This window comes from Homo sapiens, chromosome 11 (genome assembly GCF_000001405.40).
Source record: "Homo sapiens chromosome 11, GRCh38.p14 Primary Assembly".
Classification (NCBI taxonomy): Eukaryota; Metazoa; Chordata; class Mammalia; order Primates; family Hominidae; genus Homo; species Homo sapiens.
In genome coordinates this window covers 116,272,350-116,294,400 of record NC_000011.10, presented here as the reverse complement: position 1 = coordinate 116,294,400, position 22,051 = coordinate 116,272,350, and the positions used below count along the sequence as shown (strand labels likewise).

The 22,051-nt window shown below is 46.8% G+C and overlaps 1 annotated feature.

Annotated features, from left to right (window-relative positions):
- Positions 17,836 to 18,786: an enhancer, noted in NCBI's record as "H3K4me1 hESC enhancer chr11:116146332-116147282 (GRCh37/hg19 assembly coordinates)". NCBI's record gives its function as "activates a minimal SCP1, AML or CMV promoter by ChIP-STARR-seq in primed H9 embryonic stem cells {active_cell/tissue: H9 hESC(primed)}" and the evidence as "EXISTENCE:reporter gene assay evidence [ECO:0000049][PMID:30033119]".

The following is a 22,051-nucleotide window of genomic DNA, read 5'->3' as shown; positions in this document are numbered from 1 at the left end:
CTATAGGAGAAACAACACCATATATTAAATGCTGATTTAGAACATATACAGCCTTCTGGGGGACCTTGTCCTAGCCCTGCAAGATATTGCCACCTAGCTGGCACTGTAAACCAAGTTTATGACAATCCTTCGCCATTCTCCAAAATCCATCTATCTTCTGCCTAGGTAAATTAAATGGGGGACGTGGTGGGAATCACTATTCCTGCATCTTTCAAGTCTTTAATGGTGGCATTGTTGGGGCTTAGAACAAGATACTCCAAAATATGGCACCTTGGCAATGAAAGAATTACAGAAGCAAAAAGGTTACTCTGACTTTCTTTCAGCTGACTCCCCTGAAGCATGGTCATAAAGAAATTCTCTGAACTTTCTCACCTGAAAGTAGGTCATAAGACTCTTATTCTAGAGGGGTCTTACCCTATACCCAGAGGCCAAGAAGAATATGAAAAAATAGGCCTTATTAAGTTTCTCCCAGTTATTACCGTTAGGTTATACCCCTTTTTTGTCCAATTATGTCCACAACCATCTACTTCTTTCATCAGACAGCATAAAAATATACAGTTTTCCCTGGGTCTTTGTGTCTTCATTTCTGAAGACTCCTGTGTTATGTACAACTTTGGTTAAATAAATTTGCTATGCTTTTCCCTTGTTAATCTGTCTTTTGTTAGAGGGGTGTTAGCCATGACCCTTGAGATAGGTGAGGAAAAGGTATTGCTTTCTCTCCCCTACAGCATTAATCTCTGAACTTCCTCAAGGAATGTTGTATGACTTTTAGCTTACTATTTCTATAGGTAGATGCAGTTCTAGCGTCTCCCACTTGACCTTTCCCACCAAAATAGCCCTCTCTCCACAAGACAGGCACCCAATACAGGCATCCTGCCAGTTGCTGAGAATGTCTGTTCCAATTATGCATTCCAGAGCTGGGGAAATAACTACAGAATGGGTTCAAAGCTCCACTGTGCTCCCTGTAAGACAGGGATGAGCTAATAATTCTATTGATTATCTGGCTTGTATAAGCTCCTACTCCGATTAGTGGACCACAGTGACATTTTAGATCCTCAGGAATTAATGTCAACATAGAACCTATGTTTAGTAATCCCTGAAAGTTGTGACTATCTCTTTCCCTGATGCAGCTACCTTGTTAAATGACTGTAGATCCCTTTGGAGAAGGTCGGGGGCTGGGGGTGAGGGGGTGGGGAAGATTAACAGTATAAATTTTTGGCAACATAGTAGCGTCTTTCCTTAAGGGGACCTGGGCTCCCTTTCATTCAGTGAGTTCTGAGTCTATAAACTGCGTCAAATCTGAGAATTGACTGAGGGGCCATGACTATTTGTTTTTGTAATTCAAATTAGACTTCTGTTCACTAGACTTAGAATTCTTCTGTTTATATAGGTCAGATAATAATTAGTGGACTGCACATCAATTTTTTTCCCTAGGGACACCATGGTCAACTACCAATTGCCATAGATCTCTGAGAGCCAGACTATTCTGATAACTGTTTTGACTCTATTGTCCATTATAGTAACCATGCTTATCTGGCCTTTGGACAGACCAGGTGCCACCCTGTTTGGGCCCTGCCACTCAGGATCCCATTGAGCCATTAAATTTAGGGATCCCAGTTCAATGGTAGCAGGTCCCACTTTAATTTCTGATCTACTGGAGAGAACAATCAATGAACTCTTTAAGGGTGCTGTGGCTCCCCTCATGGGGGGAAATGTTTCCTCTGGACCCCTCCTTGATATGGTTTGGCTGTGTCCCCACCCAAATCTCATCTTGAATTGTAACTCCCACAGTTCCTATGTATCATGGGAGGAATCTGGTGGGAGGTAATTGAATCATGGGGGTGGGTCTTTCCGGTGCTGTTCTCGTTATAAGGAATAAGTCTCACAAGATCTGACGGTTTTAAAAACAGGAGTTTCCCTGCACTCCTGTTTCTCTCTTTTCTTGTCTACTGCCATGTGAGACATGCCTTTGACTTTCTGCCATGATTGTGAGGCCTCCTCAGCCACATGGAACTGTAAGTCCAATAAACCTCTTTCTTTTGTAGATTGCCCAGTCTCAGGTATGTCTTTATCAGCAGTGTGAAAACAGATGAATACACCCCTGGTGTAGGTGAACAGATTTCACATGATAAATTCACTCTAGTATTCCAGTCTTCCTAAGTCGTTAGATACCTTCTTCTATACTGTACCAAAGTATTTTGGGCATTTCAGTTTCATCTAGTGGAGGCCATATTTGGGTCCTTGTTTCAGCTAACCAACCAACCAACCAACTAACGAGATTGTTAAAGGTCTTCCCAGCCCTTCAAGCTGAGCTTGCATCCAGAATCTCTGCTTAGTGGGCCCTGTTAAATCAAGTTTAGCCTAAAGTTTCCTCCTTACATACTTTAAGTTCAACCTAAAGGTTTCTCTGTACATCATGAACTGCAAGTTTTGGTCAATCAAAGGTGGTCAACTGTTGAAACTGTTCAAATAATGGAAACACTGAGCTGTAACTAATCCAGCTTTTTCTGTACCTCACTTCCATTTTCTGTCCATCATTTTCCTTTTTCTGTCCATAAATCTTCTTCCACCACATGGCTGCGCTGGAGTCTCTGAGCCTGCTCTGGTTTGGGAGGCTGACCTATTTGTGAATTTTTCTTTGCTCAATTAAATTTTTTTAAATTTAATTGGGCTAACTTTTTTTTAAACAGCCCATATCAATAAATTCAGCCTGACCCAATTTTATGTTCCTTTCACCTTGATCCCGTACTCTTAGTATTCATTCCCACACATATTCTCCAGATTTCTATCTGTGTAAATTAAAAAAAAAGTCACTTTTTTTTTTTTTCAAGACAGGGTCTTGCTTTGTCACCCAGGCTAGAGTATAGTGGTGAAATCATAGTTCACTGCAACCTCAAATTCCCGGGCTCAACTGATCCTCCTGCCTTTGCCTCTTGGGTAGCTGGTACTACAGGCATGTGCCACCATGCCTGACTAATTTTTAAACATTTTATAGAAACAGAGTCTTGCTATGTTGCCCAGGCTGGTCTCGAGCTCCTGGGCTCAAGGGATCCTTCTGCCTCAGCCTCCTAAGTAGCTGAGACCATAAGCATATGCCACCAAACCCAGCTATAATGTAGCTGTTTTGATGTGTAGTGAACCTTCTTGTAGCTCATACTTTGTACCTTACCCTTTGAGGCCAGTTGAGAGTTGAGTCTATTACAGGTGTAGAAGCAAAGAGGATTGCCAGGGGTGGGTCCTGAGAAGAATCAGCAATGCCTTGTAAGGCAACTACTTTAGCGAAGATCATTAGCATTTCTTCAGGCAAAGGAGGGCAAACTCCTCAGTCAGGGGTAGAAGAGCTGCTTCTACAAAGAAGACTCAGCAGAGTTTAGGGGTACAAGGTCCTAAGATTCATTGGGATCTGCCCATATCTCTCCATTCTAATTTTCAGGATCTTACTTCTTCCCAATCCATGCCATAACTTTACTGGAAGATGCCATGCATGGAAACACAATCTGTAGTGTAATTCAGTCACTTGCAGGATAAAATTCTGGGTTTGGATTTTTAGAACTCCCATCCCTGAGGCTACAGAAGATAAAGGTTTCTTTGAGGGAAGAGAGAGAAGCTTTCAGAATTCTATTCTAAGCTCAAAGGGAACTTTGCAAAGTTTTAGGCAGGGTAGTGACATGTATTGATTTACAAGTAAAAAAAGATTCTTTAGCCTCTGTGTTAATAATGACTCATAGGGGCAAATGAAGAGATTATTGCTGTAGTCCTCCCATCAGATGATAATGGCTTGGACCAGAGTGGTAGCAGTAGAGATGAAAAGCAGTGGATCAATGTGAAATATGCTTTGAAGGTATAGTCATAAGGAATTGCTGGCAGATGGGCTAGGGGGGTAACAGAAAGAAAAAAACGAAGGATATCTTCCAAGCATTTGGCTTGAGCAACTGGGTAGATGGTGGTGACATTGATCCACATGAGAAATATGACAGTTACAGGTTTGGGGATGGGAGGAATCAAGAGTTAGTATGAGAAATCTTTTTGTAGACATTAATATGTAGATGTCAAGTAGGCAGTTGAATTTTGCCACCCACATATCTACTCCAAACAGGCTTCTATTTTTATATAGTCCATATTTAAATTTTGCCAAATTTACCAACGAAATGTCTGTTAGAGAAATTCTTTATTTGATGTAGGACCCAATCCTGTGTCATATAGTGCTTTCAGTTGTGATACCTTTTCAGTCTCTTTAACTGGGAACGATGCTTTAGCATTTCCTTGTCTTGTGACATTGGCAGTTTTGAAGATTTCTGGCAAGTTGTTATGTTGCATGTCCCTCAATTTGGATATATATGATGATTTCCCCATGGTTAATTTCAGATTCAGCATTTTTGGCATGAGAAATGTATAAATTATGTTGTGTCCTCCTCAGTGCATCATATCAGGAGGTACATGGTATCACTTTGTCCTGCTGTTGGTCTTATTTACTTTGATCCCCTGGTTAAGTATTATCCTCCAAGTTTCTCAACTGTAAGATTATCATTTCCTCCTTTGTAATTAATTAATCATCTATGGGGATATACTTTGAGGCTTTAAATATCCTAGTCCTCATACAACTTGCACCCAATGTTTTCAGCATCAATTGATGATTCTTGCTTGAATAAATCATTATTTTGATATTTGCAAAATCGTGACTTTTTAAATGAAATAATTCCTCCTATATGTATTAGTTGCCAGTCTACTGAAAGGAAGAGTTACCATACACCATTGAAATGATATATGTGTCTCTCACTAGGCTACCAACTTCCTGAGAGCAGGAGTTGTATTTTTATTAAACTCTAACACCAATTCTGTGTGGAAAGTTGATGCTCAATAAATATGTACTGAAATAAACAGTACTAAATTCACCCTCCAAATGGGTAACAAATTAAAACTATCTGCCCTCAAAAGTTTTAGCAAGGCTGAAATCAGATCTTGCACAGGAGAAAGCTTTGCAACCTATAACAAGCCTCGTAGCTGTGTGCTGGGATCCTTGTTAGGGGCTCAAGCCCTGCCCATCTCAAGGCCACTGTGGCAGACCCATGACTCCCTAGCCCAGCAGGAGAATGGAAGTCAGTGGGAATGAATATGAAAATCAATGTCTAAGAAAATGGAGACAGCAGAAGGATCTCTCTGGAGGCTTTACCCTCCTTTTCTCCTCTTTGACTTCTTCAAGGAAGGGCTGGGTGGGTGCTCAGCTTTGTTGATTCGATTTCCCCCAACTCTCCCTCCCCTCTCTGCCACACCACTCTGCCTGTCTCTCCCACTCACTCTCCTCTGGAAAAGCAGAAACTTTCCTGCAGCTGTCAGGCTTCTTTCCCTGAAGAATATCTCTAATCGCCCCGCCTGATTGGGTCTCGTTAGCGGGCTGGTGGCATTGATTGTACTCAATCAGCATCCTCCTGCCCAGCTGGGAAAATGTCCCATTTGTTCCCCCATTTTATCTACTCTTCCTTCTACAACTATTTTACAGTTTTTTTGGGATTTAAAAAAACCCGAGCCCCCAAATCAGAATTTTATGCTATCCCTGGTTGTGAGACTCTTTATGACTTTGCCCAAAGGTTTTCTGCTTTCTCTATCCCAGGGAATTTCTGGAAGTTTCCTGTGGGAACTCTGGGGACACTCACAGTCTTCTCCGTAACCCTCACTTGTCAAGAACAGCATTTTCTTACCCTCACACTTAACAAAATGTATTTGCGTAAATTAAATGAACCCATTTGATTCTCACAACAATCCCGTAGCATAGGTATTAGTATCATCACCACCCCATTTGGTGGACAAAAAAACTGAGGGCCAGGAAAGTAAAGGGACTTGCCTAGATCATACACCTAGGAGGGAGAAGAGATGAAACTCAAACCCAGCTACTTGGTTCCAAAGTATGGCATTATTCTTATACTCTTAAGCCCCAGACTTGGCCCCAGTGATGGCAGCCTCATCCCATGGCAGAAGGTAGTTCTGATTCTGGGAAGGCCAAGGTGGTATCAGGCCTCCCTTGCAAAGCCAACAAGGGTCCCTGTGCCTATAGGTGGAGTAGGCAGTCTCTTGGGAGTCCTAAAGGACCCTTCCCCCAACTCCAAATCTCTCCTTTGCTGATCCAACACAATGGGGAGGCATATGTTCACCTCATTCCTCTAAGTGAAGAGATCTGAAGAAATGTACTCCAAGATTGGTTAGTTTAGCCTGGGTGGAGGGAGAGAAGAAAGAGGAAAAAGTTCAGGTCATGACAGGAGACTCCTCTAGGCAGGGAATACCCAGGTGGGGCACAGAGGAACTTGAGTCCTTCTCTGCCTCTGGCATCTGGTACAGAGTGCAGCATCACGTGACTAATGGGCAAGAGCATGTTATCTCAAGACCTGGCTTCAATGTCTAGTTTTCCTGCCCACTGGGTGTGTCACCTTGGGCAACTCACTTATAGTATTTGCCTTGACTAAATGTAGTCTGGGGATTGAGGGAGTGGGAGCCAAAACTATCCTACTATCTCCCCAAAAGATAATATGTAAATGTGAGAAGTATAATAGAAATGAGATTCAGCATGTATACTGTGTACCATGTCAGAATTCTAAGTGTTCTATGGTAATGTGAAAAACTGTAAAATCTCCATCAAGGCTGAAAAGGAAAACTATGAGCATTTTGATATGATTCAACTGCTCATGCTTTAATCTAGACAATTCTATACAGATGGCAAACTGCTTTTTTACCCATGTTCATGCTTGCAGGGTTTTGTCTTATCTGGTTTGCTCCTTTCCTACTTCCCTTTAGTTGTCTGATGTTTGGGTTGCAGCTTGTTCATTGGTCACTATGTTTATTTGAACATAATATCAAAACAAATATTTTTCCCCTCAGTACTTTTTTTTTTTTTGAGATGGAGTCTTGCTCTGTTGCCCAGGCTGGAGTGCAGTGGTGTGATCTCAGCTCACTGCAACCTCCACCTCCCGGGTTCAAGCAATTCTCCTGCCCCAGACTCCTGAGTAGCTGGGATTACAGGCATCTGCCACCACGCCCGGCTAATTTTTTGAATTTTTAGTAGAGACAGGGTTTCACCATGTTGACTAGCCTGGTCTAGAATTCCTGACCTCAGGTGATCCACCTGCCTTGGCCCCCCAAAGTGCTGCTATTACAGGCATGAGCCACCACGCCCAGCCAGTAAATTCTTAATGCTCCCTAAGACTTTAGCATCAGAGAAAGTGGAACTTGCTCCTGCCTCTCACTGACACTGAACATTTTAGCCATGGCTGCTGATACATTGTCTCAGTTTCTTCATAAGTGAGATGGGAGTGAGAATATCTCTCATGAGGTTGTTATGAGAATTTAGTGAGATACTGGGTGTGAAAGTGTTCTTTAAGAATAAAAAGCACTATACAGATTTAAGGGATTTTTTTATACTTCTATGTACTTCCCTACATGTTGTGTTTCATAATTGCTTACCTTCTCACTTTTACACAACTGTAATTAACTGGAGGGTAGGGAGGTCTATTGTATTAATATCCATATTTCTGATATATTGCATATTGTCTGAGACAGAGCAGGTACTTAATAAAAATTAGATGGATGGATGATTGGATGAGTGGTTGGGTAGATGGACGGACGAATGAATAAAATGATGCTTGAGAATTAGACGACAGTGGAGCTGAAAAGGGGTACAAAGTTCATTAACAGCAATTACTGTTGTAATTTAATTTACCTCCCTTAGCCTCACTAACACCTGTGAGGCAGGTATTATTATTCCCATTTTACGAATGAGGAATTCTCAGCTCAGAAAGACTCATAGCTTGTAAGTATCAGAGCTGGGATTCAAGCCAGATCCATTTCCAAAGCCCAAGCTCTTTCTACCATACCAGCACAATCTCAGCAGTCTCAAACATTCTATCCTGAAGATTTCTGCTCCCCTTGGGCCTCAATGCTCTGTCATTAGGTGGTTTCATGGTTTGATGATGTCCAGAGTTGAACTTCTCCTGGGGTCCAAGTTGTTTGTGCTCAGAGCTATGTAGAAGAAAGGCAGGCATAGGGCCTTGGAGTTCATCATCTTGCCAGGCATCAATGGCTGCAATCCAGTGGGCAGTGGTTTCCCTTAGCTCTTCCTGAATGAGTTGAGTGATCTGAACACCTGTGCAGTTAGATGGCCTCCTTGAAGGGTCAGACCCATTATCTGCTCCCCATCACAGCATCCGCTGCTGGCTAGCTGGGCCCTAGGGCTGCCAAAAGGAGTAAATATAGCCAGAGGTACCTGGTGCTGGTTGGGGACCAAAATTAAGACCTCTTTCATGAAAGCAGAGAAAGACGAAGGACTGCAGAAGAGCAGAATTTCCCGCCAACAACCTTTTGAGTCTCTGGATACACCTATGTCCTTCCAAATTATGTAAACCAATGTATTTGCTGTATTGGTCATGTTCACTTGAGTTGGGATTCTGTCACTTGCAATCAAAGAACCTTGATTAATAAACTGCTCCTTACTCATTTTCCCACAGCATGCTGTCTATGCTTTGTTCTATTATTTACGTATATCTTTCTCTCTACTAGACTCGAAGTCCCCAGAAAATATGGGCCATGTCTTATTCATTTCTGTGTTCCTCATACCCCAGTACAGAGGGAGCCTGCCACATAGATGGTAATCAATAAATGTGTTTTAGTAATTACAATGTATAAGTCTTTTATATTTGGAGATTTGTCTTGATTTCCTGTGGCACTTATTAAGCACCTACTATGGGCCTATGCCTGTACTAGAGGGTTCTATAGGGACATCACATTATTTCAACTTTATCTCTCATAGGTCTTTCAGAACAGGCACCATTTCATGATCTGCCACCATCATTCCTTCTGTCTTCCTTTGCAAAGTACAGAGAGTCCCCCTCAAGCCACTCAGCAAACACATAGTCAGAATATGATAAAAATACTTTGAACCTTTGTTTTAAAATCTTGTTAAATTTTCTGTTTAAAAATGTTTTGTTCACATAGTGATAGGAGGTCTTTTAGAAATTCAGTTCTGAGGAGCAGTCTTCCTAAGGCAGTGTGTCTGTATTCAAAGCAGTTTGGAGAAAGAGCTGGTTGCTAGGGGCAACACTAACTTCTAAGGAGGGATCTTTGCATGTGGATATAAAACCAATGCCCTGGGACCCTGTAGGAAGGGGGTCTTCTCACAGAGGAGTGAATAAACGGAAAGTGGCTGGGAAACCCAGGACCATGCTGGTGCCCTCTTGGAGACTGGCAGGCTGTTCGAGCCACTTGCATATGGCATGTGGCCATAACCCAAGCACACAGGTGGCAGCTGTGCTCCCTCCAACAAGATTGCCTGGGAGGCCCATTCCGTGCAGTGGGGCAGTCCAGATTTGAGCTGGGGTGTTGCATCTCTGGTTACTCATTGTTATGGTATTTTACTTATTGATCTTATTTCTTAAATCACCATAGAATAAGATTAACTGCTTTCTCTTGATGTACAGTTTTATGAATTTTAACACATGCGTAGATTTGTGTTACTACCACTATAATCATGAGACAGAACAGTTTTGTTATCCCCTGAATTTTCTTGCCCTATCCCTTTATTGCAACAACACCTTCCCTCCACCTCCATCCCCTGACTGCCACTGATCTGTTCTCCATCACTCTACTTCTGTCTTTTCAAGAATGTAGGAATAAATGGACTCATACAGTGTATCACCATTTGTGACTGGCTTCTTGGCACAGTGCCTTTGAGATTTATCAAAGTTCTTGTGTGTATCCATTGTTTGTTCCTTTTTATTGTTGAATAGTACTCCATAGCATTCATGCATAGTTGATCTTCATTGTTCCTGGATTCTACATTTGCAAATTTGCCTACTTGCTAAAATTTGTAACCTAAAAATCAATACACCTGGCACTTCACAGTCAATTGCAGACATGGACAGAGTGGTGAAGAATTTGACATGCCTGATGCACACATTCCCAGCTGAGGGTGAATAAGGCAATACCCTATTTTCTTGTTTCAGCTCTTATGCTATAATAGTGTCCTTTTTGTGGTCTATTTAGTGAAACAATTTTTTTTTTGCATTGTTGTGCTTTTTGTTGGTGACTTCACCTTTAAAATGGGCCCAACCTGGGAGACTGAGGCAGGAGGAATCTCTTGAGCCTAGGAGTTCGAGGCTGTGGTGTGCTACAATCACACCTGTGACTTGTCACTGTGCTCCAGCCTGGGCATCATAGACAGACCCCATCTCTAAAAAGAAAAAAAGGGGGCCTGTGAATAATGCTGAAACACTGTCTAGTGTTCCTGCCTTGTGGAGAAAATAGGTATTTTTCGATGTTTTGTTCATGCATGAGTTATGCTGCTGTTGGCCTTGAGTTCAATGTTAATGGATCAACAATCCATATTAAATAAGGTGTCTTTAAACTGAAACACACATTTTAAAAAGTTATATATTGATCAGTTGGTGAAAATTTTGTAACCAGAGGCTTGCAGAACCTAACACTTTATTTCCCCTAGGAACAAAGGTTCAGTATTTGCTAATTCAGTGTGTGCAATGACTTTAGAGAACATAACTACCATCAGTAATGAGAACTGACTATAATTGTGGTATTTATTTAGCAGAGCTCTAGGCTAGTTACAGTGGGGCTCCAGTAGTATTTAAGACCCCGTCCCTGACCTCAGGGTGCTTATAATCAGGTTGAGTTGATAGCTCTTTCCTAGCTATGTCACTTTTATTCTCTTAGTGTTTGGAAGGAATGAAGCTGAGATTCCAAGTGCCCCAAGTACTGGATAAATTGTTCTCTGCAGAACAAGGGGGAAGAATGAGCTTGTTTCTCAGAAGAAAGAGAAGTAAAGGGCAAGAGCGAGGAAGTGAGGTCATGAGAGACTGTGTGTCTGCCATGGCCTCTGTCCCAGATGCCACACATTTCCAGGAATGTTTCTAAATGCAGGAAATGCTTGGGGTGCATGTGTCTTTTGCAGAACTTCCAGGAGAGCCCAAGCTTCATGCCCTGGGCAGTGCCAAGCAGCATGGAGAGAGCGTGGATGGGTGCAGGAGCAAAGACCACGGGAACATACAGCAACCAGTGGTAGAAACTTGTGCAAATTGGGGGAGACTCTGGACTCCTGCAGGCTGAGCACTGGCAACTTGGGTCAAGCTTACCAACATCTGGGGTGGTGGGGTGGGAGAGAGAGGCCTCAGCTGATACCTGGGCTATACATAAAACAGCAGCCAATAGCCAGGGGACCAGAATCACGGACTACTACATTGTGTAGAACACACTCAGGGATTATCTGAGTCAGATGTGGATGGGAGAGGTCTGGGAGGGCTTCATCTTCATCCATGTTCCAGACTGAAAGTAAAGGTCCTTTCTTTCCCAGGACGGTAATAATAATAATAAGAGTAATAACAACTGGCATATAAAAATCACTCTTTAGTTTACCAGGATATTTTGCATACATTATTTCTGTGGTCCTTCACTTTTCTTCCAGGACAGATGGCTTTTAAGTTTACGTAGGTTATATGCATAGATAAGACTGCCTGTGGGTTGTGCATTACCCCGTGGCACCAACCGTAATACCACTTCTTTTGCAGCTGAGGGTACACTGAAGTAAAAGTAATATAAGTGATATTTTAAAAAGGATAATCTTGAATGCACTCCAGTTTCTGTGTCTAGTTTATTGCTAATGGTAACAAGGGTACTTACCACAAACTGGTGACTGGCGTATGGTGTTGTAATCCCAAAGTTAAGAACTCTGCCCTGTCTCTTATGATCACTACCACTAGTTTACGCAGGTCCTTAGCAATCATCATTGAAGCATTGATGAGTGCAACAGATCAGCATGGGCCTAATGTGCTTTAGAAAATACTCTTCTACCCCACATACTAGGTTCTCTAGGTCTTCTTTGACCTCCTTGAAGGTCATGAGCTTGAATTTACTGGCTAGAAAAGAAAGTTTCCTGAATCCCCATTGCAGAAAATGAATAAAGCCATCTCCCCAGCGCCTGTACCTTCCGAATCCAGGGACAGTGCATGGGGAGTTGACAGTGGCCTGAGGAGGCACGGACAGAGGAAGGCTCATTCTCATCTCTGGGCAACAGTGGCCCTGTCCTCTGATTCTTTGAGAACTCCGGGCACAGTGGCTCATGCCTGTAATCCCAGCACTTTTGGAGGCCGAGGTGGGTGGATTACCTGAGGTCTGGAGTTCGAGACCAGTCTGACCAACATGGAGAAACCCCGTCTGTCTTCTAAAAATACAAAATTAGCCGGGTGTGGTGGCGGGCACCTATAATTCCAGCTACTCCGGAGGCTGAGGTGGGAGAATCGCTTGAACCCGGGAGGCGGAGGTTGCAGTGAGCTGAGATCGTGCCATTGCACTCCAGCGTGGGTGACAGAGCGAGACTCCCTCTCAAAAAAAAAAAAAAAAATAGAACTCTGAGGGTGAACCGGACTTGAGGTGAGGGGGCACAGGAAGTGCTCCCTCTGTTGGAGGACACATTTCTTTCTCAGCCACTCCTGATGTTTCCTTCTATGTGGAGGGAGCTCACTTGGATCTCTTGGCTTCTGTCTTTCCATTACTCTCTCTGCTCCAGGGAAGAAGAGCTGACTTTTCTGATTGGGGGTTTGGGGAGAATACACAGGGCATGTTCAGCATGTTCAACTCGGCTCCTGCTGGTTTCTTTCCTCTGATAAAGGTGAGACTGATTGCAGAGAGTCCAGGTTGCCTTTCACCTGTCCATGACATCAGTGGTAGCTGGGCAGACCCTCGCCATCACCAGCACCAAGTGCAGAGGCTGCCCGTCTATGCTGCCTGTGATGGCGAGGGTGAGACCTCTGACTGTGGGGCCCAGGAGGCCCATTTGCTCTCTCACTCAGCCATATCCTCCAACTTAGCTTCTATTAGCAACAAAGGTGGCCTTTCTCTGTCCCACAGGTCACTGTTTGTCTTTTTTCTTGCTTTCTTAGAACATGGAGGGAAAAAGAGGTGCATTGGGCAGTCCCTTGATAGAGAAAACCCAGGACTCTTTCCCACTATTCCACCAACCAGCTCTGTTTCTTTTCCCACACCTGGTTCTAAACACACCTACTCCAGGCAGTCTCCCTGGATTAGCTGCAGGATTCTGAGCTTTGGCTTCACAGGATGGTAGGATATCAAATTCGAGCTTACCTGACCTGACTCCTCACCAGAAAGCCTTGCCTTTCTCAGCTGAGGGTATACTGAAGTACAAGTAATATAAGTGATATTTTAAAAAGGATAATCTTGAATGCACTCTAGTTTCTATGTCTAGTTTATTGCTAATGGCAACAAGGCATTCCTACAAACTGGTGACTGGCATATGGTATTGTAATTCCAAAGTTAAGAACTCTGCCTTGTCTCCTAAGATCACTACCTCTAGTTCAAAGGTCTTAGCAATCATCACTGAAGCACTGACAGGTGTGACAGAGATCTATTACTGAGATAGAGAAGACAACTGGCTTCCCCTTAAAAAACCTGGGGTGATTTGGGGGAAGTGTCTTGACATCTCTAAGCATCAGTTTCCTCATGGGCAAAATGGAGCTAAATCATTTCTTCCTCTCAGTGTTGTGGTGAGGTTTAAATGAGATGGTGCAGGATAGTGTCTTGTCAATCTTAAAGCCCATGCAAATAGGATGGACTGTTGGCAGTGGCAGAGTAGGGCATGGAACCCAGGTTTTCCTGGGGTGGGGGAATCCCAGAGCCCCCAGCTTAGGGAGGCTGGGCATCTTTCCAGGACCCAGAGAATTGGGATTAGAGAGCAGAAAATTATGTAGTGTACTTGGGATCCTGGATCTCTGACCTGCCCAAGCTATGGTGTCTCGGGTGAGGTCTGGGGAGGGCTATTCACATAGGGACAGCTCCCAGCCACTTCTAGAGGCTTCTAGATGTGTCTGGAGGGAACAGGTAAGAAGGATGGTGCCCAAACAGTGCAGTGTTGGGAAGGCCTGGAGAAGGAGATTGGGGGAGGCTGCATCCCCTGAGGCAGAGGCGAATGCCTGCTGCTGGACCCCAGCACCCTATCTACAGGGGCTCAGAGAAGCCCCCACCTTGAAACCTCCCCATCAGGCAGAAGTCAGGGTAGACTTAAATGATAGCATCCCACCTACTCCCTCTTCACACACACTTACTCTGGACCCACCCCTGAGCCTGAAGGAACTGATGTGACATCCAACACTCTCCCAAGTCAACCCCCATGCCCCAGCCAATCATCCCTCCATTTCCCCCACTTCCCTGCCATCTCCTGTGACCAAAGAGTGCCTAAAGTTCTTATAAAATTCTTGAAATGATCTTCTCTATGGGGATGAAGGACACTAGCAAAACCATTGCTCCTTTCTGGGCTTCAGTTTCCTTTTTTCTGAAATGGAAACAACACTCTTATAGAATCCTTGGTGCTTCGGTTCAGCAGTGTTGCTCTCAGAAACTTTTATTAAGGCTGATTTGTGCCTGGCACTATATGGAACACTGCAGCTTTCGCTCGTCAGGAATGTGTGTGTGTGTGTGTGCGCGCACACACATAGGCGGGTTTTGCTCACATCAAAACCGGTTATATAAAAACCTGGGCTTACACTAATGATAAATTAGGGGATAATTATTCACTTTATGAAAGGATTCATGTTAGGATTCCCCTAGTGTGTTTATAATGTGATTCAATTTACACCATATTCAGCAACCATCTATTGTGTGACGGGAGGCCCTCTGCATAAACAAGAGCATGTGTAGGCAGTACTTTGAGCATTATGGAAGGAAAGAATTAGAGATACTGAAGAGGTCTTTATTGCTGATAACAATGAATAATACTAGCGCCTGGGAACAAAGGTGACTGTGGATCACAGTTTCCTTAGTCTCAGGAGCACTGCAGTGCCACACAGGCCTGGGGAAGAAGTCCAGCTCCCTGCTCACAAGTCTGACTTTGGTTTCAGCAGCGTATGTGGGGGCTAGGAGTGGTCAGGGGCCTGGGCGCCAGGAGCTCTGGCTTTGGTGTCAGAACAAAAGCTATTGGGTTTATCTTCCTTGAGACCATTAGACTTGGGGCACTGGTGTGAGGCCAGCGGCTGAGGTTCTTAGGGAGGATGGGGTTCCTGGGGGAGCTCAGGGAACCGCTCAACTCCTACCATTTTCCAGACATCCTTTCTCTATGCCTTTCTTTGACCCCTGCCAAGGCTGTTTTTCCAGTATCACAGACTAGGACTGAATTCTGAGTTTGTCTTGTCCATTTCTTCATCTCACTCAGGAATCTGCTGAGCCATCCAAGCAGATGAGAATCTTCTCTTTTGAGGCTCCCCAGGAGGCAAGCTACACCCTTTCCTTCAAATATCTTTTCCAATTCCCTATTTTCATTACCGCTAGAGGAAGACGACGAAGTCCAGGTTCTGGCACCACATTTTATTAGGCAGGCAACAGCAGAACATCAGGAATTTGTAGTCAGAAAAGCAATATGGTTAGATGTGAGTTTTATAGACAGTTCTGATGGGGGAGGGTGGGGACTGTGCAGGTGTGGGTGAGGCGCGACTGGGTGAGGCGCGACTGTTGTCAGGCCAGGGCCAAAGGCACTGGGGTGAGGGGATGGTATGTGGACAACATGACGCCCTGTGAAGACACACCTGGAAGGTCATAGGACTGAGGGGCAGGGATCAGCCTTCAGATGCTTAGAGACTATCCTGATCCTTTGTGTCTCCATGAAAAAGCATCTCTGTTCCCTTTGCTTGGCTCCAAAAGTAACCAGCATCTTTCTTCATTCTTGGGCACACATCTGACTCCTCGTCTTCCAAGCTGTGCTCATGCCAGGATCAGATTTACCATTAGATTATGACTTCCACTGATATGTTGAGATGTGGAGTAGAAAATGCTGGAGTCCACCCTGTGGATTTCTGGGGTCCCTGCCTCTCCAGCCCCGGCACAACTTCTGCCTGGCTTCAAGGGTCCTGAGGAGGGCTGGCTAGCTGACTCAGACCTGGGGACCCCCACTTCAGAACCCCCCACCCCTCCAGTTGGGTATCTTCAAAGGAATCTTTGGTGTCACAGACCAAGTCAGCAGGGGCTGGGAGGGAGCCTGGAGCTTTATTAACTAATCTCTGGTACTTGAGTAATTTATTATGTTTAAGCTGGTGCCATCAAGTCTCTCAGCAGTGCCCGCGTGCACTGGGAAATAAATTAAAGGCTGTCCAGAGATACTTGGATCATCTGTGTGATTGCTGGGCTGGTGAGATGGAGGTTTAAGGCTCTCTCTTCTTGCAAATTGGAAATTAGGAATTAACAAGACAGCAGGCCAAAGAGCTTCGGTGGTGGTGGTGACTTGGCTGCAGGGCCAGGGCTGGGGGAGGGAAGGCTGCCACCAGGGAGGGCGGAATAGCAGATCCCAGCCAGAGTTTCCAGGGCATGGGTGGGCTAGATGAGGGGGCTCTTCCTGGGCCTGAGCAGCAGGTGGCAGGGATTTTTCCACCTCTTGAAAAAGGTTAAATGGGTAATGGAAAGAGCCCTAGCCTGGAAGCCTGAAGACTTGTTCTGGCCCCAGCCCTGCCACAGCCCCTGTGTGACATTGAACAGTCTCTTCCTGTCTCTGGGCTTCAGTTTCCTCATCTGCAACAGGAGGAGGTGGGATTCAGGGCCCACTTATCCATGAGCACAGCAGGCATGCAAAAATGTTTTAATTTCTTTTAAAGTCAGAAGAGAAAGAATACGCTTTTTGGTTGAGGAAAATATTTTTAATATATAATATTAATACATTCATCTTGATACCAAAGCAGTCATTATATACATATATTTATATAAATGTATAAATTATATAAATATATAAATATATATATATATATATATATATATATATAGAGAGAGAGAGAGAGAGAGAGAGAGAGAGAGAGAGAGAGATAAGAGTTCTGCTCTGTTTTCCAGGCTGGAGTGCAGTGGCATGATCTCGGCTCACTGCAATCTCTGCCTCCCAGGCTCAAGCCATCCTCCCACCTCTGCCTCCCAAAGTGCTGGGGTGCTGGGATTGCAGGCGTGAGCCACCTTGCTTGGCCATAAAATAGGATTTAAATATGAATTTGTGTGCGTGGAGGAAGAGGCCCATGAAGACGAAGGTGCTAAGGGTCCCACGGAACTCATGATGCAGCCTCTGTTAAATGAGAAGATCCCAAAGGCCCTTCCTGCCCCAGTACACTTGCCTGTCCCATCCATTTGCCGACTTCGGCTTATCCGGGCTCTGGTGAGCTCCGGGCGCAGGGACTCATCTTCCTGTCAGTCCGCCCTACTCCTGCGGTAGGAGCGGTGTGCACAGCCCCACTGTGGCCGGTGGTGGGGCCAGGAGTGGAATGCAGGCTTTAGGCCTCTCCATGGCCCCAAGCTGCTGCTTCCTGATAGATGCCCAGGGAAGGGGCGTGTGAGCCCCTTGGGAGACCGAATCTCTTCTTTCCCAAATCCCTCGGATCAGGCCCTCCCCGGGGGTCTTCTGCCTCAGCCCTTGAACTCGACCCACCCCTACCTTCTGCTTTTCTGCCCTCACAAACTCAGCAGTGCCTAGAAGGGCCCTGGGCAGGGCTCCGCGCCTTCAGGGTCTGCTCTGCGGGAGCCAGCGGGCACCCGGGTGTGGGGCCCTCGGCGCGGGACAGCATGGCCCTCAAGAGCCCCAGCCTGTAGTTGGGTGGCCTCACCACCAGGTGGCAGGCTTGCTCTACACTGATGCATTGGCAGGAGCACTTACCTGGCAGTGGCCGCAGGGGTCGGAGGATGCCAAATCGGCCCGCGGCTGGGGGATTATTGAGGCCAGCGCCTGCGGCTTCAGAAGCAGGGCGGAGGTCTCTCCCACTCGGCGTGGGGCTCCTGCTGGGATTCTGTCTCCAAGGGCACCTTGATTTCCTAGAAGTGCCTCCAGGCCGCTGTCGGTGTGGGCCAGAGTGCGCCCCCTGGAGGAGGGAGGGCTGAGTTGCCTCCTCGGGGTTTGGTGTGTGCGCGGTTGGCTGGACTGGGTGGAGGGCTGGGGACACCGAGAGGGGCCTGATGATATCTTTGGAGGCATCCCAAGGACCCTGGTTCTGCACAGAAAGGTGACTCCCACCCAGCTGGCCCTGGTTTTAGGCATGGTGAACGCTTGATTGTGGTGTCGGCTCCACACCCACCACCTAGACTATCCCTGCTGTGGGCAGGGCCGCTTGGGAGGCCCACTGGCGGCAGGGCAGCCTGAGCGTCATCCTCTCGCACCCCTGACGAGCACGGCTGCGGCACTGTCCCTCCAGCACCCTGGGCTGTCCCCGAGGGGCCCCAGGAGCCAGGGCTCAGGCCACAGTCGAGCCCAGGGCCCTGTCTTCCCCAGGAGCAGAACAGGAAAAGACCCAGGCCCTGGTCAATAGAGTGCCAAGGAGAAGAGATGAGAGTGAGGGGTGAAAGACAGACATGGTGGCAAGTGAAAGTGAGGCTGGCCACGTCCCGCGGGGCTCCCTGGGAGCAAGTGTGAAGGCCTCAGGTCCTGGGGAAGAAAGTGGGAGGTCCCTGCCTCTGCTGGGCGCTTCTTTGTCTCAGGCAGCAGGAGCTCTCCCCAGGCCTGGAGTCCTCTTGGGGTTCCTGAGTGACATCTGGAATGCCCTGTCCTGTCACTAGCCAGCCAGGGCCTGAGTCAGAACTGGTGACTCACATGCTTCTTTCTGTGATGTCTTCGTGCCCTTTGTGAAAGTCAAAAGCCCCAGAAGTCAGCCCTGGGCCCTTCTCCCTGTCTCCCTCACCTGCCTGTGTGCCCTCCTTGGTGCACTGGTTCCCAGCCTGCCCCCTGTCCTCCCCACTCTGTCTTGGTTGAGAGATCTGCTCTCTGCTCTTGTTCCAGAAATACTGATGACTTTTTTGTGCAGTGCGCTCTGTCCCACCCATTCCAATGGCATCCGATTTCGAGAACTCAACTTTGAGGCTCCATGTCAGCACTCACTCAGACCCTTCCTCCCAGGCTTCTGTGTGTTCTTGGGTCAGGAGGATCAAGCCAGGCCTGGATGCGGAGTCAGGTTAGGGTACAAAGGCTCAGATGGTCCCCAGGGTCTCTCACCCTTGCAGATCCACCAGGACAGGTCTGGACCAGAGACTGGGAGAGACAGAGAAGAGGGAAAACAGAGAGCGCCATGCTGGGGAGGGGAGTGGTCTGGGAACAGACAGAGAAAAAGATAGTAGACGGATGCAGAGGAAGAGAGGAAGACAGAGAAGAAGAGTGTGTGTGTGGGAGACAGAGAGAGGGAGGGAGGGAGAGAGAGAGAGAAAAGAGACAGAAAGAGAAAGGAAGAAGACACAGAATAGAATAACCAAAAAAATCAGAGTGGGGGAAGGATGGAAATTAAATACATTACAAACTGAGGAAGGAGGAAAACGAAAGGAAAATAACAGAAAATACCCAAAAGACAGAAAGGATGAATGTAGAGGCAGGCACACACAAACATGGGTGTGAACAGCTGTGTGCATGCGAACACACACACACACACACACCCCTGCTCTGGTCACCGTCCTGGTCCTGTGCTGATCTTGCCTTAGCGTCTCTCTCCCTCTGACCTGCCTTAGGTTCCTAAGAAGGGCGTGGCCTCCTGGTGTTGCCTGTTCCCTGGCCCACCCCCTGCCCACCCCCAGAGATTTCACTTAGGCTGGGATGCACAGAGGAGGCCAAAATCTTTATGCCTCACACTTGTCACCCAAAATTGGATCTAACCGCCTCTCTCCCTTCCTTTCTCCCTCCTAGTTTCCTTAGTAACTGACAGTTCCCCAGTGAATGCCAGGCCCTGGGTGACAGACCGCTGTCACCATCACAGAAGCACTTTCTCTCTCTCTCTCTCTCTCTCTTTCTCTCTCTCAACTGTCCCCCTCAAAACCACATAGACTCACAGACTTGGGCGGGGGTGTGGGGATGCCTGGGTAGGCTCAGGGGTAATTAAAACATGTACCATTTATTCCGTAACAGGCAGCAGAACTTTAATTACTCACTCTGAAGGTGAGGGTGTGAGCAAGGAGGTGGCTACGGGGGGGTTGGGGAGGGGGCTCAGAACGTGTCTGCTTTTCTTCTTTCCTTTTCCATTTGCCCAACTTGGATTGGAGAGGTGGGAGGTGGGTCTGGGAAAGTGAGGGGGTGCTGAGTGCGTGTGGGGGAGAAGCAGAGGGTGAAACCTGATTGTGTTCATTAAGGCAACACAAAACTGGGAGCGGTAATAATAATTAATTATAAAAGCAATTTGCTTTTGAAAATTTGATTTGACAGCTTACTAGTGGCTGCACTGATCTAGCAGCTCTGGCTTAAAAATAGTCAGAACAAAAACCAAGTAGAAGAACCATCAGCTAATTTTAATTAGAAGCCAGGATTGGTAAACAAAATTCCGCACCACCCTTTCATTGTGGCTGACTTCGATTTAAGGAGATGTCGGGATTGATTTGGGGAAAGGCAGGGGAAAGGAAGGTGCCTTTTGGAGAGGGCATGGAGACTAGGGGGTCTGAGCAAAGGCAGTGACCCTGAGGGCTGGTCCCCCTCCTCGCCACCCATTTTGGGGATGTCGGCTCTAAGGGGTTTCCATGGCTCCTCCCTGTGTGACCTTGGTAGAAATGGCTCTGCCTCTCTGGCTTGCTGCAGTGGTGCTTTCTGTGTGTGTGTGTGTGTGTGAGTGTGTTCATGCACACAGATGTGTTGGAGAGGGGACATCACATTGACAGCATCCACTGATCCAGGAGAAATTCAACCAAGAAGGGCAAAGAAAGCCCGTGTAGAGGGTTGGCCACAGGCTCTGCCCTGCCAGGGCTCTAGAATGCTTAAAGGTCTTAGGAAGCTGACACATCTCTGGAAGTTTCAATGAAGACTGAAGGAGGGCTGGCTTCTGGCAGGGAGAGGCTGCTGTCTCTTGTGGCCCGAAGGTGTCTGGACACCATGCTGACCCCTGCCTCCAAGCCCCATCTTGACATCTTCAGTGCCCTTCCTCGTCTCCCCAGCAGCACATGCATCCTGCATCCACAGCTCATGCCTCCATCAAAGCACTGCCCTCCCGGCTCTGTCACTGTCAGGGTCAGTTACTCCTCTTCCCTGTGGCTTGGAGAGCCCTCTCTACTTCCTACCTTGGGCAGGGATTTGATTCATTCCAGGGTTCCACTGCCCGGCACAGTGCCCAGCGTATAACAGGTGTCCAGTAAGTGTTGGTCAAATGGAACAAATCACCAATCATGACCTTCCTAACTACCTCTTCCAGCTAACATTTCATTACCCTCCCTTCCTCTCTCTCCCCTAAACCCACATTGCCCTTCCATCCATTCTCTTCCAGTCCACTGCATGCTGAGGACTCTCTCCTGGGTCACCCATCCCTGGGGCTCCTCTCCTTCCTCCTTCCCTTTGCTCCCTGTGCCCCTGGCTGGCACCGTTGTCCACCCCTCAATGCAGCTGCCTGCAGGGTCTATCCCACCGCCTGCTTTGTCCTTAGTGCTCACATCGGTGCCCCTGGCTGCCCTAGGGGGGTGCAGTGCCATCTTTATATGCATCACTCTTAGGATGCATCACTTGCTTCATTCAACAGGGTTTCATGGGGGCATCTGAGTTAGGCTCCTGGCTGGGTTGATACAGCTGGGGAGAGGGGGCACAGGAAGCATATCTGGACCTTGCCTCATGCCGCTTAAAGTGCAGTGTGTGGTGAGGTCCCTCAGAGTCCCCACCCTGCATGCTCCTGCTGCTCTGGCTCTAGCTTTCTAACCACCCAGCACTGGAAAATTCTTCTGTTATTTCAAAACCAGTGTTGGAAACAAGATTTTTTGCCCTCTCATCTCTCTCTCTCTCTACACACACACACACACACACACACACACACACACGTGCATGCACTCACACACATGCACACACACTCACCACACACACACTCGCGCACACACGCACGTGTGCATGCACACACATTCACTCATACACACAAACACACACACACACTCTTCTTCTCTCCCATCAGCTCTTTGTCTCTGAGGCTCACCACACTTTTCCCACCCCCCAGGTTTCCCCAAAGCCTTGGGTCATCTTCCCCTGCTCCCTCTCCTGGTCTTCCAGGTGATAATCACTCAGCAAGTCTTGTGGCTTTTTTCTTCAGAATCCCCCTCC